Below are 15623 nucleotides of genomic sequence, written 5' to 3'. Positions count from 1 at the left end.
TTTTCATGTGTTTTTTGGCTGCATAAATGTCTTCTTTTGAGAAGTGTCTGTTCATGTCCTTTGCCCATTTTTTGATGGGGTTGTTTGCTTTTTCCCTTATAAATTTGTTTGAGTTCATCGTAGATTCTGGATATTAGCCCTTTGTCAGATGAGTAGGTTGCGAAAATTTTCTCCCATTTTGTAGGTTGCCTGTTCACTCTGATGGTAGTTTCTTTTGCTGTGCAGAGGCTCTTTAATTTAATTAGATCCCATTTGTCAATTTTGGCTTTTGTTGCCATTGCTTTTGGTGTTTTAGACATGAAGTCCTTACCCATGCCTATGTTCTGAATGGTAATGCCTAGGTTTTCTTCTAGGGTTTTTGTGGTTTTAGGTCTAACATGTAAGTCTTTAATCCTTCTTGAATTAATTTTTGTATAAGGTGTAAGGAAGGGATCCAGTTTCAGCTTTCTACATATGGCTAGCCAGTTTTCCCAGCACCATTTATTAAATAGGGAATCCTTTCCCCATTGTTTGTTTTTCTCAGGTTTGTCAAAGATCAGATAGTTGTAGATATGTGGTGTTATTTCTGGGTGCTCTGTTCTGTTCCATTGATCTATATCTCTGTTTTGTTACCAGTATCATGCTGTTTTGCTTACTGTAGCCTTGTAGTATAGTTTGAAGTCAGGTAGTGTGATGCCTCCAGCTTTGTTCTTTTGGCTTAGGATTGACTTGGTGATGCGGGCTGCTTTTTGGTTCCATATGAACTTTAAAGTAGTTTTTTCCAGTTCTGTGAAGAAAGTCATTGGTATCTTGATGGGGATGGCATTGAATCTATAAATTCCCTTGGGCAGTATGGCCATTTTCATGATATTGACTCTTCCTACCCATGAGCATGGAATGTTCTTCCATTTCTTTGTATCCTCTTTTATTTCATTGAGCAGTGGTTTGTAGTTCTCCTTGAAGAGATCCTTCATGTCCCTTGTAAGTTGGATTCCTAGGTATTTTATTCTCTTTGAAGCAATTGTGAATGGGAGTTCACTCCTGATTTGGCTCTCTGTTTGTCTGTTATTGGTGTATAAGAATACTTGTGATTTTTGTACATTGATTTTGTATCCTGAGACTTTGCTGAAGTTGCTTATCAGCTTAAGGAGATTTGGGCTGAGACAATGGGGTTTTCTAGATGTACAATCATGTCATCTGCCAACAGGGACAATTTGACTTCCTCTTTTCCTAATTGAATACCCTTTATTTCCTTCTCCTGCCTAATTGCCCTGGCCAGAACTTCCAACACTATGTTGAATAGGAGTGGTGAGAGAGGGCATCCCTGTCTTGTGTCAGTTTTCCAAGGGAATGCTTCCAGTTTTTGCCCATTCAGTATGATATTGGCTGTGGGTTTGTCATAGATAGCTCTTATTATTTTGAGATACGTCCCATCAATACCTAATTTATTGAGAGTTTTTAGCATGAAGGGTTGTTGAATTTTGTCAAAGGCCTTTCCTGCATCTATTGAGATAATCATGTGGTTTTTGTCTTTGGTTCTGTTTATATGCTGGATTACATTTATTGATTTGCATATGTTGAACCAGCCTTGCATCCCAGGGATGAAACCCACTTGATCATGGTGGATAAGCTTTTTGATGTGCTGCTGGATTCGTTTTGCCAGTATTTTATTGAGGATTTTTGCATCAATGTTCATCAAGGATATTGGTCTAAAACTCTCTTTTTTGGTTGTATCTCTGCCCGGCTTTGGTATCAGGATGATGCTGGCCTCATAAAATGAGTTAGGGAGGATTCCCTCTTTTTCTATTGATTGGGATAGTTTCAGAAGGAATGGTACCAGTTCCTCCTTGTACCTCTGGTAGAATTCGGCTGTGAATCCATCTGGTCCTGGACTCTTTTTGGTTGGTAAGCTGTTGATTATTGCCACAATTTCAGAGCCTGTTATTGGTCTATTCAGAGATTCAACTTCTTCTTGGTTTAGTCTTGGGAGGGTGTATGTGTCGAGAAATTTATCCATTTCTTCTAGATTTTCTAGTTTATTTGCGTAGAGGTGTTTGTAGTATTCTCTGATGGTAGTTTGTATTTCTGTGGGATCGGTGGTGATATCCCCTTTATCATTTTTTATTGCGTCTATTTGATTTTTCTCTCTTTTCTTCTTTATTAGTCTTGCTAGCAGTCTATCCATTTTGTTGATCCTTTCAAAAAGCAGCTCCTGGATTCATTAATTTTTTGAAGGGTTTTTTGTGTCTCTGTTTCCTTCAGTTCTGCTCTGATTTTAGTTATTTCTTGCCTTCTGCTAGCTTTTGAATGTGTTTGCTCTTGCTTTTCTAGTTCTTTTAATTGTGATGTTAGGGTGCCAATTTTGGATTTTTCCTGCTTTCTCTTGTGGGCATTTAGTGCTGTAAATTTCCCTCTACACACTGCTTTGAATGTGTCCCATAGATTCTGGTATGTTGTGTCTTTGTTCTCGTTGGTTTCAAAGACCATCTTTATTTCTGCCTTCATTTCATCAGGTACCCCGTAGTCATTCAGGAGCAGATTGTTCAGTTTCCATGTAGTTGAGTGGTTTTGAGTGAGTTTCTTAATCCTGAATTCTAGTTTGATTGCACTGTGGTCTGAGAGACAGTTTGTTATAATTTCTGTTCTTTTACATTTGCTGAGGAGAGCTTTACTTCCAAGTATGTGGTCAATTTTGGAATAGGTGTGGTGTGGTGCTGAAAAAAATATATATTCTGTTGATTTGGGGTGGAGAGTTCTGTAGATGTCTATTAGGTTTGCTTGGTGCAGAGCTGAGTTCAATTCCTGGGTATCCTTTTTAACTTTCTGTCTCGTTGATCTGTCTAATGTTGACAGTGGGGTGTTAAAGGCTCCCATTATTATTGTGTGGGAGTCTAAGTCTCTTTGTAGGTCATTCAGGACTTGCTTTATGAATCTGGGTGCTCCTGTATTGGGTGCATATATATTTAGGATAGTTAGCTCTTCTTGTTGAATTGATCCCTTTACCATTATGTAATGGCCTTCTTTGTCTCTTTTGATCTTTGTTGGTTTAAAGTCTGTTTTATCAGAGACTAGGATTGCAACCCCTGCCTTTTTTTGTTTTCTATTTGCTTGGTAGATCTTCCTCCATCCTTTTATTTTGAGCCTATGTGTGTCTCTGCACGTGAGATGGGTTTCCTGAATACAACACACTGACGGATCTTGACTGTTTATCCAATTTGCCAGTCTGTGTCTTTTAATTGGAGCATTTAGTCCATTACAGTTAAAGTTAATATTGTTATGTGTGAATTTGATCCTGTCATTATGATGTTAGCTGGTGATTTTGCTCGTTAGTTGATGCAGTTTCTTCCTAGCCTCGATGGTCTTTACAGTTTGGCATGGTTTTTCAGTGGCTGGTACCGGTTGTTCCTTTCCATGTTTAGCGCTTCCTTCAGGAGCTCTTTTAGGGCAGGCCTGGTGGTGACAAAATCTCTCAGCATTTGCTTGTCTGTAAAGGATTTTATTTCTCCTTCATTTATGAAGCTTAGTTTGGCTGGATATGAAATTCTGGGTTGAAAATTCTTTTCTTTAAGAATGTTGAATATTGGCCCCCACTCTCTTCTGGCTTGTAGAGTTTCTGTCGAGAGATCCGCTGTTAGTCTGATGGGCTTCCCTTTGAGGGTAACCTGACCTTTCTCTCTGGCTGCCCTTAACATTTTTTCCTTCATTTCAACTTTGGAGAATCTGACAATTATGTGTCTTGGAGTTGCTCTTCTTGAGGAGTATCTTTGTGGAGTTCTCTGTATTTCCTGAATTTGAATGTTGGCCTGCCTTGCTAGATTGGGGAAGTTCTTGTGGATATTATCCTGCAGAGTGTTTTCCAACTTGGTTCCATTCTCCCCGTCACTTTCAGGTACACCAATCAGACGTAGATTTGGTCTTTTCACATAGTCCCATATTTCTTGGAGGCTTTGTTTGTTTCTTTTTATTCTTTTTTCTCTAAACTTCCCTTCTCGCTTCATTTCATTCATTTCATCTTCCATCACTGACACCCTTTCTTCCAGTTGATTGCATCGACTCCTAAGGCTTCTGCATTCTTCACGTAGTTCTCGAGCCTTGGCTTTCAGCTCCGTCAGCTCCTTTAAGGACTTCTCTGTATTGGTTATTCTAGTTATACATTTGTCTAAATTTTTTTCAAAGTTTTTAACTTCTTTGCCTTTGGTTTGAATTTCCTCTTGTAGCTCGGAGTAGTTTGATCGTCTGAAGCCTTCTTCTCTCAGCTCGTCAAAGTCATTCTCCATCCAGCTTTGTTCCGTTGCTGGTGAGGAACTGCATTCCTTTGGAGGAGGAGTGGCGCTCTGCTTTTTAGAGATTCCAGTTTTTCTGCTCTGTTTTTTCCCTATCTTTGTGGTTTTATCTACCTTTGGTCTTTGATGATGGTGATGTACAGATGTGTTTTTGGTATGGATGTCCTTTCTGTTTGTTAGTTTTCCTTCTAACAGACAGGACCCTCAGCTGCAGGTCTGTTGGAGTTTGGTAGAGGTCCACTCCAGACCCTCTTTGCCTGGGTAACAGCAGCAGTGGCTGCAGAACAGCGGATTTTCATGTACCGCGAATGCTGCTATCTGATCGTTCCTCTGGAAGTTTTGTCTCAGAGGAGTACCCGGCTGTGTGCGGTGTCAGTCTGCCACTACTGGGGGTGCCTCCCAGTTAGGCTGCTCGGGGGCCAGGGGTCTGGGACCCACTTGAGAAGTCAGTCTGCCCGTTCTCAGATCTCCAGCTGCGTGCTGGGAGAACCACTACTCTCTTCAAAGCTGTCAGACAGGGACATTTAAGTCTGCAGAGGTTACTGCTGTCTTTTTGTTTGTCTGTGCCCTGCCCCCAGAGGTGGAGCCTACAGAGGCAGGCAGGCCTCCTTGCACTGTGGTGGGCTCCACCCAGTTCAAGCTTTCCGGCTGCTTTGTTTACCTAAGCAAGCCTGGGCAATGGCAGGCGCCCCTCCCCCAGCCTCGCTGCCACCTTGCAGTTTGATCTCAGACTGCTGTGCTAGCAATCAGCGAGACTCCATGGGTATGGGACCCTCCGAGCCAGGCACAGGATATAACCTCCTGGTGCGCTGTTTTTTAAGCCCATCGGAAAAGCGCGGTATTAGGGTGGGAGTGACCTGATTTTCCAGGTGCCGTCTGTCACCCCTTTCTTTGACTAGGTAAGGGAACTCCCTGACCCCTTGGGCTTCCCGAGGGAGGCAATGCCTCGCCCTGCTTCGGTTCGCACACGGTGCGCTGCATCCACTGTCCTGTGCCCGCTGTCTGGCAGTCCCTAGTGAGATGAACCTGGTACCTCAGATGGAAATGCAGAAATCACCCGTCTTCTGCGTCACTCATGCTGGGAGCTGTAGACCGGAGCTGTTCCTATTCGGCCATCTTGGCTGCCCTCCTCAAGTGATCTTCTTGTTTCAACCTTCCAAATTGCTAGAATACAGTCTCATGCCACTGTGCTTAGCTGATAATTTCTAAGAGTATAAAAGGTTCCTGAATTTAAAATGTGAGAGACTTGCTAATCAAGGAGAGTATATGCTTTACTGTGGAAATTTAATTCAGAAGGAGAGGTGATAGGTCAAGGCAAGGCGAAAGGAATGATAGAGATACTACCAGATCCTATAATTTAAAAAGTGAAGATGCATTGGGCAAACATTTCAGCAAGTTTCCTTTGAATAAGAAGTTTATATAAAAGTCAAAATGTGTTAAATGCAGGGAAATTAAGGTTAGAGATTTGCAAAATGTTTCTTTTCTCAACATTAATATGCCCTTCATTTGTTAAATTCTATACTGTGTACTTTAGCTATTGCTTTGAATTGGAAATTTCTATAAAAATTATCTAAAGTCTGATATTCCTGATTCCCATCTTTAACTTATTCTTACAGATAGCAGTCACAGTTTGCATTTTAAAATTTCCCTGCTTCTTACACTGTTTTGCCATTTAAAAGCTGAAATATAGTATCGTGTATTTCCAAACACTGATACTAATAATGTGTAACATTTGTTGTATGTATGTTATGAGCCTAGTACTCTTCTTAGTTCTCTACATGTATTAACTCATTAAATTTTTTAGAAATGAACACCTTTATTATTCCTGTTTTATAGATGAAAATCCAAAGAATGCAAAGATTCAATACTTAACTAAAGTTATTCAGTTAATAAATGATGAAGCCTGTTTTCCCACATAGGCAATCTGGCTCTGGAGCAACTTAGCATAGAATGGTATCCCAGAGGTTTCACAAATATTTATCCTCTCTCCTAAAAAAAAAAAAAAAAAAAGCTATAAAGAAAAAACAAGGGAGTAGTGAGACAATATCTAATTGATGAAATTAACCAATTTCATATAACCCTTTAAAATTTATAATGCTGGAATTCGTAAGTTGTAATCATACCAAATATAGTAGGTCTAGAATTACAATGCTGTTGCTATGTGGCATACATTTTTGCTGATTCAGCCTAAGAATAGGCACTCTCAAATTTTAAGGACTTGTTACAACATATCTAAAATAGTATAAAGTCAAAAACCTTGTCTCTAGAGCTGTTGTAACTATTTCTAATTCCCCAAATTGTGTGTTAGGCAATGTTAGAAGCTGTGACACAGTACTTGTATGATGATAATATAATTGGTAAATAAATGTTAGTATGGAGGAAAGTAAGAAAGCTGGTAAGTTCTGGGATCAGAGATGATTGTGCTGCAGATAAACAAGTCTGGCTGTGAAACTATGACCAGAATGAGGATCCAGAATAGTTAACGTGGATATCCACTCTTTTGACAGCAGCTATAAAGGCAATTCTAGGCTCTGTTACTGCCAGGACTTTGCTCTGGTGCAGTTCACTGGTGTAGTCTTTTCACCATTCTGGAAATAGACAATGGGTAGAACTCTTCACCCTATAGGGTGTGACTTGCTTTTCTAACTAAATATTTGTTGCTAATCAGTCTCAATCATGCAATTAATTTGAAAACTTAGACATCAGAGTCTTCATTAATCTATCCTATTTATCTTTGCACAAAGTTCATTTAATGAATAACTTGCTTTGAATTTGTGAGTTATTATTTAGTGCTTCAGAAATCCAATGACTAATGCCATGAGGCAAGCAGATGTGCTGTATCAGCTTCAGCAGTGTCATTTTCCTTGGCTTTCCCCTGTGAAGTTCTCAAGGCCTAAACCTCTTGAGCACGCAGTCTGTTGGCTTCAGGAATGTGAGTGGGATCCGGAGAAGGGCTCATGGCTTTGGGTGGGGAGAAGAGTGCAATTTGCATCTTGTTCACTTCCTCCCTGTTTTCTATGTCCAGATGTTATCAGGGTAAAATCAGAGCTCCTACTGAGTTATCAAGTCTTATGCATTTCTGTTTTCTGTCCAGGCCTTTGGAGTTAAGGAGAATTTAAAGAAATGGTGTATGGGGCGAAGGAAACAAACAAGGAAATGAAAAGCAGAAGAGAAAGCAGCCCAAGATGGTAACAGAGCTCAGATGGAACTTGTAAAGATAGAAATCACCTCCAGTGTAATTTGGGGTTAGCACCAGCACTTGAGGTAGTCAATGAGTTTCTCAATTTCAGGGCAAGGGTTCTAGTTTCAAGACTTAGGCTTCCAGAGCAACACATATAGGAGAAATACATACAGTTGAATGCAGCTTAAATGCATACAAGAGACAGTTACTTAGTGATATGGTTTGGCTCTGTGTCCCCACCCAAATCTCATCTTGAATTGTACTCCCATAATTCCCATGTGTTGTGGGAGGGACTCGGTGGGAAATAATTAAATCATGGGGGCAGTTTCCCCCATACTGTTTTCTTGGTAGTGAATAAGTCTCATGAGATCTGATGGTTTTATAAGGGGTTTCCGCATTCAGTTCTCTCTCTCTCTCTTTAGTTCTTGCCAAAACCATGTAAGAAGTGCCTTTGCCTTCTGCCTTTATTGTGAAGCCTCCCCTGCCATTAAACCTATTTTTCTTTTTCTTTTTCTCTCTCTTTTTTTTTTTTTTGGTGTGCACTTTTATTCAACTGGTCTCAAGTCAGTGTATAGGTAAGTCCTGGCTGCCTCCACCCACTCCCAGGGGGACCAAAAGCCTTCATACATCTCAAGTTGGGGGACAAAAGAGGGGGGCCACAAAGGCTGATCACTCAAAATAAAACAAAATTAAAAAGTATTAAGGTGAAGATTAAAAATTTTTTGCATTACATAATTTACACGAAAGCAATGCTATCACCTCCCCTTTGTGGGCTCAGAAGAGGACTGGGCCATTCTCCTTAGAGAGTAGTGGGGTGGCTTTTAAGAGGGCAACGGACTTCCTGTAACAATGCATCTCATGATATTTGGGATGACTATTTAAAAATGTACAATGTACAATCAAAGTCCTCGGCCACATTGCAGAACTTTGGGGGATGCTTCCTCCAGCCAACTGCTGTCACCTTCACTATTCCAGTTTTTAAATCCCGAGTCAAGCCAAAAACAAAACAAAACAAAAAAACAAATAAAGCCATGCCAATCTCATCTTGTTTTCTGCGCAAGTTAGGTTTTGTCAAGAAAGGGTATAATGCAACTAAGTTACAATCCGCCTAGAACACTTGCGGTGGATGAGGAAGGGGTCAGGCTCGTCGTATTCCTTGCTGATCCACATCTGCTGGAAGGTGGAAAGCGAGGCCAGGATGGAGTCGCTGATCCACACGGAGTACTAACTCTCCAGAGGAGCAACGGCACCAGGGTGGTGATCTCCTTCTGCATCCTGTCCTGCCATGCCAGGGTACATGGTGGTGCCGCCAGACAGCCCTGTGTTGGCATGCAGGTCTTTGCGGATGTCCATGTCACACTTCATGATGGAGTTGACAGTAGGATGCCACAGGATTCCATGCCCAGGAAGGAAGGCTGGAAGAGGGCCTGGGGGCTGTGGAACCTCTCATTGCTGATGGTGATGACCTGGCTATCGGGAGGTCGGGCAGCTCGTAGATCTTCTCCAGGGAGGAGCTGGAGGCCACTGTGGCCATCTCCTGCTCAAAGTCCAGGGTGACATAGCACAGCTTCTCCTTGATGTCATGCATGATTTCCTGCTCAGCCGTGGTGGTGAAGCTGTAGCGCCCACTCGGTGAGGATCTTCATGAGGTAGTCAGTCAGGTCCAGGCCAGCCAGGTCCAGACGCAGGATGGCGTGGGGGAGGGCATACCACTCGTAGATGGGCAGTGTGGGTGACCCCGTTACCAGAGTCCATCACAATGCCAGTGGTAAGGCCAGAGGCGTACAGGGACAGCACCACAGCCTGGATGGCCATGTATATGGCTGGGGTATTGCTGAAGGTCTCGAACGTGATCTGGGTCATCTTATGATTGGCCTTGGGGTTCAGGGGGGCCTGGGTCAACAGCATGGGGTGCTCCTCAGGAGTCATACACAGCTTGTTGTAGAAGGTGTGGTGCCAGATCTTCTCCATGTCGTCCCAGTTGGTGCCGTGCTCCACAGGGTACTTCAGGGTCAGGATGCCTCTCTTGCTCTGGGCCTCATCACCCACATAGGAGTCCTTTTGACCCATGCCCACCATCACTCCCTGGCACCCATGACAGAGGGGAAGATGGCCCGGGGGCATTGTCACCTGTGAAGCCGGCCTTGCACATGCCAGAGCCCTTGTTGATGAGGAGCGTGCTGATATCATCATCCATGGTGAGCTAGCTGCGGGCATGGATGCCCGGCAGAGCGGGGAGGGCGACGCTCTGTGCTTGCGGGGCGGACGTGGTCTCGGCTGTCCATTAACCCTATTTTTCTTCCCAGTCTCAGGTATGTCTTTATCAGCAGTGTCAAAATGGACTAATACACTTAGCTTAGCATGTCTAGAAAATTTTCCAATTACAGTTTTGACAAGAATATCATCTTTCTGCTCTACCAATCAGAGTGTTATGCCTGTCCCATTCCTAATGTGTTACTTTCCCATTGTTAACCCACTTAAAATAACTTTATGGTCTTGTTGAGATAGAACCTTTTTAAAAACAAAAAACGAATATTCTACTTAAATCCTATTGTTAGCTCAATTTTGTAGGAAATAAATATTTCAAGAATGGAATTAAAAAATAAACATGTATACAACGGCAGATATTTTATAAATCATATTTCTCTAATTTCAGAGATGTAGCAAACATACTAAACCTAATTCTCTTTTGGAAACAAAATTTATATTTCCAGATTATCTGGAAAAGCTAATTAATCAATAAGGTCCTTGGGGTTTTACTCTGTGTTTTGACAGCACCAATATATTCATCATGGTGTAGGGCATGAGGAAATAGCACAATTAATACTCATAAACATGAAATGTAAAAATGTATGGTTTTGTGCTGAGAAGTGTCACTTCTAATTGCAAATATGGCAGCTTTATTGACATCATCATTAACAGGATTTTTAAGCAATCTACCAGTAGTTCCAGATATGAGATTCACTTCTACTTCTAGAACAAATGTATAAGTATGCTTTTATTAATTGTTTTAATTTCAAATTTTCTATATATTTGAAATAGTCTTTAAAGTTTTCACAAACAAGCAAGAATTAGAAAAGTACTTCACTGTGCCTATTTATTGTTTAAATCTTTTATTCTTTTGTATTTTCGAATTGAACCAACAACTCTAATTATACTAAGTACTCATTCTAGGTTTTTTCTAAGCTTATCTATCAATCTGCAGTTCTCTTTTTGACACTCGAAATTTTATTATGACTTTTATATTTTAAAGGAAGATAATTATGTCTGCATGTATTTAAAACTGAGTCCTTAGATTATTGTTTCTGAAATGTGGCTGCTGTCCTTTAAACTCTCTTAGTATGTTACAAACACGTGGCATTAAGAGACTTTCTCTAAAGGAGTTATGAAAACTAACTTTTAAAAAGGTAATATACAATTTTCTTCAACAAATATTTTGCTTTTTAAGGTATTGCTTCTACTTAATAAAATAATACTTTTTCTCCTATCATTCTGTGGTGATAAGTTTTTCCCAAGAGATTTCTGATATTTGGCTGAGAGTGTAGATGGCCTTCTGAAAGGGCCTGGAGGAGTGAGCAGAGTTGTCAATCTGAGCAAGAAGGGCTTGAAAACTTCTTCCCTGAAAATGCACTGAAGCCTAGAAGTTCCTCACTGTTTAGAAACAAAGCTCAGTGGAAGGTGTACTCGAGACATGAACTTGGGATTAGAGAGAAGTAGAGTAACAGACCGGTATTTTGAAAGGTCTATGGGAGCCTGATATCGTGGATAAAGGCATCAGGCAAAAAGTCTATACAGGAGAGAGACCCAGACTCTAACTTAGAGTAGAGGTTAAGACCCAGTACAAGATAATAGGACTGCAGAATACGCTATGTCAAGATCTCAGAGTAGACCCCAGCAACTAGTGCTACTGCATACCCTGAGCAACTGTATGAGGCTAACCTGATATAGTTTAGGACTATCTCAGATCATCACTGTCTCTAATGCTTTCACTCCCCACTCTTGTCCTTAATATTTCAGTTACAACCTTATCTTTTCAGGTAGGCTTCCCCTAATCATTCAATTTAAAGTAGATCCCTTATAATCTCTCTCAGGATTTTTTTTATCTTTCATTATACTAATTTTGTAATATTATTAAAATTATTTTTTTCATATTAGGCTCCACCACGACAGGCACAATATCTTTTTATTCACTATAGTGTGCTCCATGCCTAGCATAGTGTCTGGCACACAAACAGCTCAATAAGGACTGTATTTGCTAAATAAACAAATGTTAAATAGGCAAATGTGCTATCTTAATAACTGGCTAGTGATTCAAGTAAACTGAATGGGGGTGGAATACACTGGACCAGGGAAAGAGCTAGGGTTTGCAGGACCCCACTCATTCTCAGAAAGGACAGAGGAGGTAACTTCAAAATCAAGGTAGAAAACTTAGTTAGTTGATTCTTGAGGAACTATTGTCTTTTCCCTCAAGAACTCAAGAAATAAAGCAGGAGCTAAGGGTGGCAAAGAACTTGTGAAATAAACATGCAGCATAGCCCAGGCCAGAGGTTTCCCTGGACTGAAACAAAAAAAGAAGACTAAATGGAAAGACTAGAACTCTTTTGAGTTGAGTCAGTGCCTTGAGCTGGAGCCAATTTCAGTCCGGACTGGGTTAACGTCTGAGCAGCAACATCTACAAAGGAAATAAGTAAATGGTCAAGAAAGAACTTCAAGAGTCCACCATGCTTCATTCTCATTCATGTGGAATCCAGGGACCATTACCACTAGGATTCTTTTTTTTTTTTTTTAACGTAGTCTCGCCTGTGGCCCAGGCTGGAGTGCAGTGGCGCCATCTCGGCTCACTGAAAGCTCCGCCTCCCAGGTTCACGCCATTCTCCTGCCTCAGCCTCCCTAATAGCTGAGACTACAGGCGCCTGCCACCACGCCCGGCTAGTTTTTTGTATTTTTTGGTAGAGACGGGGTTTCACCGTGTTAGCCAGGATGGTCTGGATCCCATGACCTCGTGATCCGCCCGCCTCGGCCTCCCAAAGTGCTGGGATTACAGGCGCGAGCCACCGCACCCGGCCCATTACCACTAGGATTTTAAAGATTGGTTATAACACTTACTTTATTTACTGATTTTTATTTTTTTTGCCTTTGGAACTTTAAGAAACATCTTTAAAAGTGTAAAGCAACAGCCGGGCGCGGCGGCTCACGCCTCATTGGTAGGCTATACATTAATTCAAAAAGCTGATGCCCAGGAACTAGTGTCTTCAACCCAACCCTGAGATTTAAACTTTTAAGAGATCCATTCACTGAAATAAATTATTTCCTTAAAAATAATTCCAGCTGATTGAATGCAGGATGGAAAAGATATGTATATCAACAAGAATATTCTGTGAAGCTATAGCATTTTCATTTGATTGTACATTTTTCATTCAGTGTATTTTCATTCACTGTAAGTTTGTGTCACACAGAATTTAGTGTTGAGATAATAAAAAAACAATTTACTGATAGCTATATTAAACTCAGTAATCTTACTTCTCTTGCCTAAATGATTTATTTCTGAATCATTTTTGATAGCTTAAAAGAATCTTGTGTTTGATGACACATTTTTAGAGTTTGCGGATGAAAAGTTTTATATTTTTCACAATGCTATTTGGTTTTTTTATATATTAAACTCATCTTCTTTTAAGATTCACACAGATCATAATCCTATTTCAAGGAAATTGCAGCATGCCATTGCCTTCGGTAGCTTTTTGTCTCAGTCATCCATTTGAGCTGAACAGCCAAGTGGTCCCTATTTATACTCTGGTTGCCCAACTGTCATTCCATTGTCTCCTTTTCTGGAGGACGTGGAAGTTATATTTATGACGCTGCAGTGACTAAGTTCTACTAGTTTTCTTCCTGCTCACTTGCTTCTCAACTCTTTTTAAATTTACGTTTTTAGTTTACGGATAAAATTGTATTTATTATGTACAACATGTTTTGAAATGTGTATGTGTGTGTAGTGGAAGAGTTAAATCTAGCTGATTAACAAATGCATTACCTCACAGAGTTTTCATTTCCATGGTGAGAGCACTTGATATCCACTCTCTTTGCACTTTTCAAGAATACAATATATCATCATATTTTAATGATATATGATGACTGTAGTCACCATGCTCTAAAATAGACCTGTTGAATTTATTCCTCCTATCTAACTGGGTATATATCCAAAGGAAATAAAATCAGTATGTCAAAGAGATATCTGCACTCCAACATTTACTATAGTAGTACTCATAATAGCCAAGATATTGAATCAACATAATGGTCCAACAATGTATGAATGAATAAAGAAAACGTGGTATATATACACAATGGAATACTATTCAGCCATAAAAAAGAAGAAAATCCTGCCACTTTTGACAACATAGATGAACCTGGAGGACATATGTTAAGTGAAATAAGCCAGTCACAGAAAGACAAATGCCACATGATTTCACCTATACGTGGATTCTAAAAAAGTTTAACTCATATTTGTAGAGAGTAGGATGGTTATTACCAGAGGCTGATATGGTTAGCAGAGAAGGAGTAATTGGGAGATATTGGTCCCCAACTCTTTTATTATTCCTTTTGACTTTCTCAGTAAGGGCCAGGAGTGGTCATATAATATTATATTGGTGACCTGTACAATCTGGGAAGAAAGGCTCCTAGTACACTGATGCCACACTGAAAAAGACAATGTGAGATGAGGCAGGTAATCCCATGTAGCCTCATGGCTTCCAGCAGTTAAGGATATCTGGTGAGTTGTTATGCTGTCTTCTAGGCTCAGTATTTAGAGCCAGCCTGTGCCATGTTTCTGAGTCATCAAGGACAATTGCTTTTTTGGATGTGCAATTCCCCACTGACTGACACATGAAGACAGTAACCTACTATTTTAAACTTTTAAATAATGTTTTGAAATTATTTGCTAATAAGCCATTTTTGAATATTGAACATTATAGACTATGTTATTTCAAAAGGAACAAGTAATATTTTCTTTTTTATGTGAATCACCTCTACTTAAGAAAAACTTATATCCTAGAAAATTAAAATTCAAAGTGCCAAACTGATCTTTGAAAGGATTCAGAGCAGAAGGAAATGACTCTAGGTGGGATTTCCAGAATTGAATTATTAACCAAATGGGCTCCACTTCATTACTGCTTGCTGAGCAATGGGCATACTTTGGGCCATGCTGTAATGAAAATGATAGGGAAGTAGGAACACAGGCAAGGCAAATGCTTTTCATTTTATGAATACTAGGAATTACATTAGGTTAACATGGCTCATGTGTTATTTCAACAAATAACACATTTGGGGAAAATATCTTCTGAACTTCCACAACTCTCATAATTTGATAATATAAAAACATTATAATATTAGGATATTGGCGCTAAAAGGAAGTTAATAATCGTTTAGTATAACTCCTACATTTTTAAGATAAAAAGTGTACATTCATGTTGTGTGACTGGCTTCAAGTTTCTTAACCAGGTTGGAGCAGAGTGAGGTCTTGGACCAATGCCTTTTAACATCCAGTCAAATGTTCTTTTGTGCTTAAATTAGTAATTTTTTCAGCCCCAAAACTTCTTGAACTAATAAGCAACTTTAGGAAAGTCTCAGGATACAAAATCAATGCGCAAAAGTCACAAGCATTCCTTTACACCAACAATAGGCAAGCAGAGAGCCAAATCATGAATGAACTCCCATTAACAATCGCTACAAAGAGAATAAAATACCTAGGAATACAGCTAACAAGGGATCCGAGGAACCTTTTCAGGAGAACTACAAACTACTGCTCAAGGAAGTAAGAGAGGAGACAAAAAATGGAAAAGCATTCCATCTTTATGAATAGGAAGAATCAGTATCGTGAAAATGGCCATTCTACCCAAAGTAATTTATAGATACAATGCTATTCCCATCAAACTGCCATTGACATTTTTCACAGAATTAGAAAAAACTATGTTAAATTTCATATGGAATCAAAGAAAATCCTGCATAGCCAAGACAATCCTAAGCCAAAAGAATAAAGCTGGAGACATGATGCTACCTGACTTCAAGCTATACTACAAGGCTACAGTAACCAAAACAGCATGGTACTGGTACCAAAACAGATATATAGACCAATGCAACAGAACACAGACCTCAGAAATACCACCACACATCTACAACCATCTGATCTT

At 40.0% G+C, this 15623-nt stretch overlaps 1 pseudogene, besides 2 other annotated features; it reads right to left on the bottom strand.

Annotated features, from left to right (window-relative positions):
* Positions 4984-5485: an enhancer, noted in NCBI's record as "H3K4me1 hESC enhancer chr5:97678603-97679104 (GRCh37/hg19 assembly coordinates)". NCBI's record gives its function as "activates a minimal SCP1, AML or CMV promoter by ChIP-STARR-seq in primed H9 embryonic stem cells {active_cell/tissue: H9 hESC(primed)}" and the evidence as "EXISTENCE:reporter gene assay evidence [ECO:0000049][PMID:30033119]".
* Positions 8237-9724, bottom strand: LOC402221 (actin beta pseudogene; annotated as a pseudogene).
* Positions 9444-9945: an enhancer, noted in NCBI's record as "H3K4me1 hESC enhancer chr5:97674143-97674644 (GRCh37/hg19 assembly coordinates)". NCBI's record gives its function as "activates a minimal SCP1, AML or CMV promoter by ChIP-STARR-seq in naive H9 embryonic stem cells {active_cell/tissue: H9 hESC(naive)}" and the evidence as "EXISTENCE:reporter gene assay evidence [ECO:0000049][PMID:30033119]".

This window comes from Homo sapiens, chromosome 5 (assembly GCF_000001405.40).
Source record: "Homo sapiens chromosome 5, GRCh38.p14 Primary Assembly".
Taxonomy (NCBI): Eukaryota; Metazoa; Chordata; class Mammalia; order Primates; family Hominidae; genus Homo; species Homo sapiens.
Note: the sequence above shows the minus strand (reverse complement) of the source record. Positions and strands in the feature narration are given on the sequence as shown.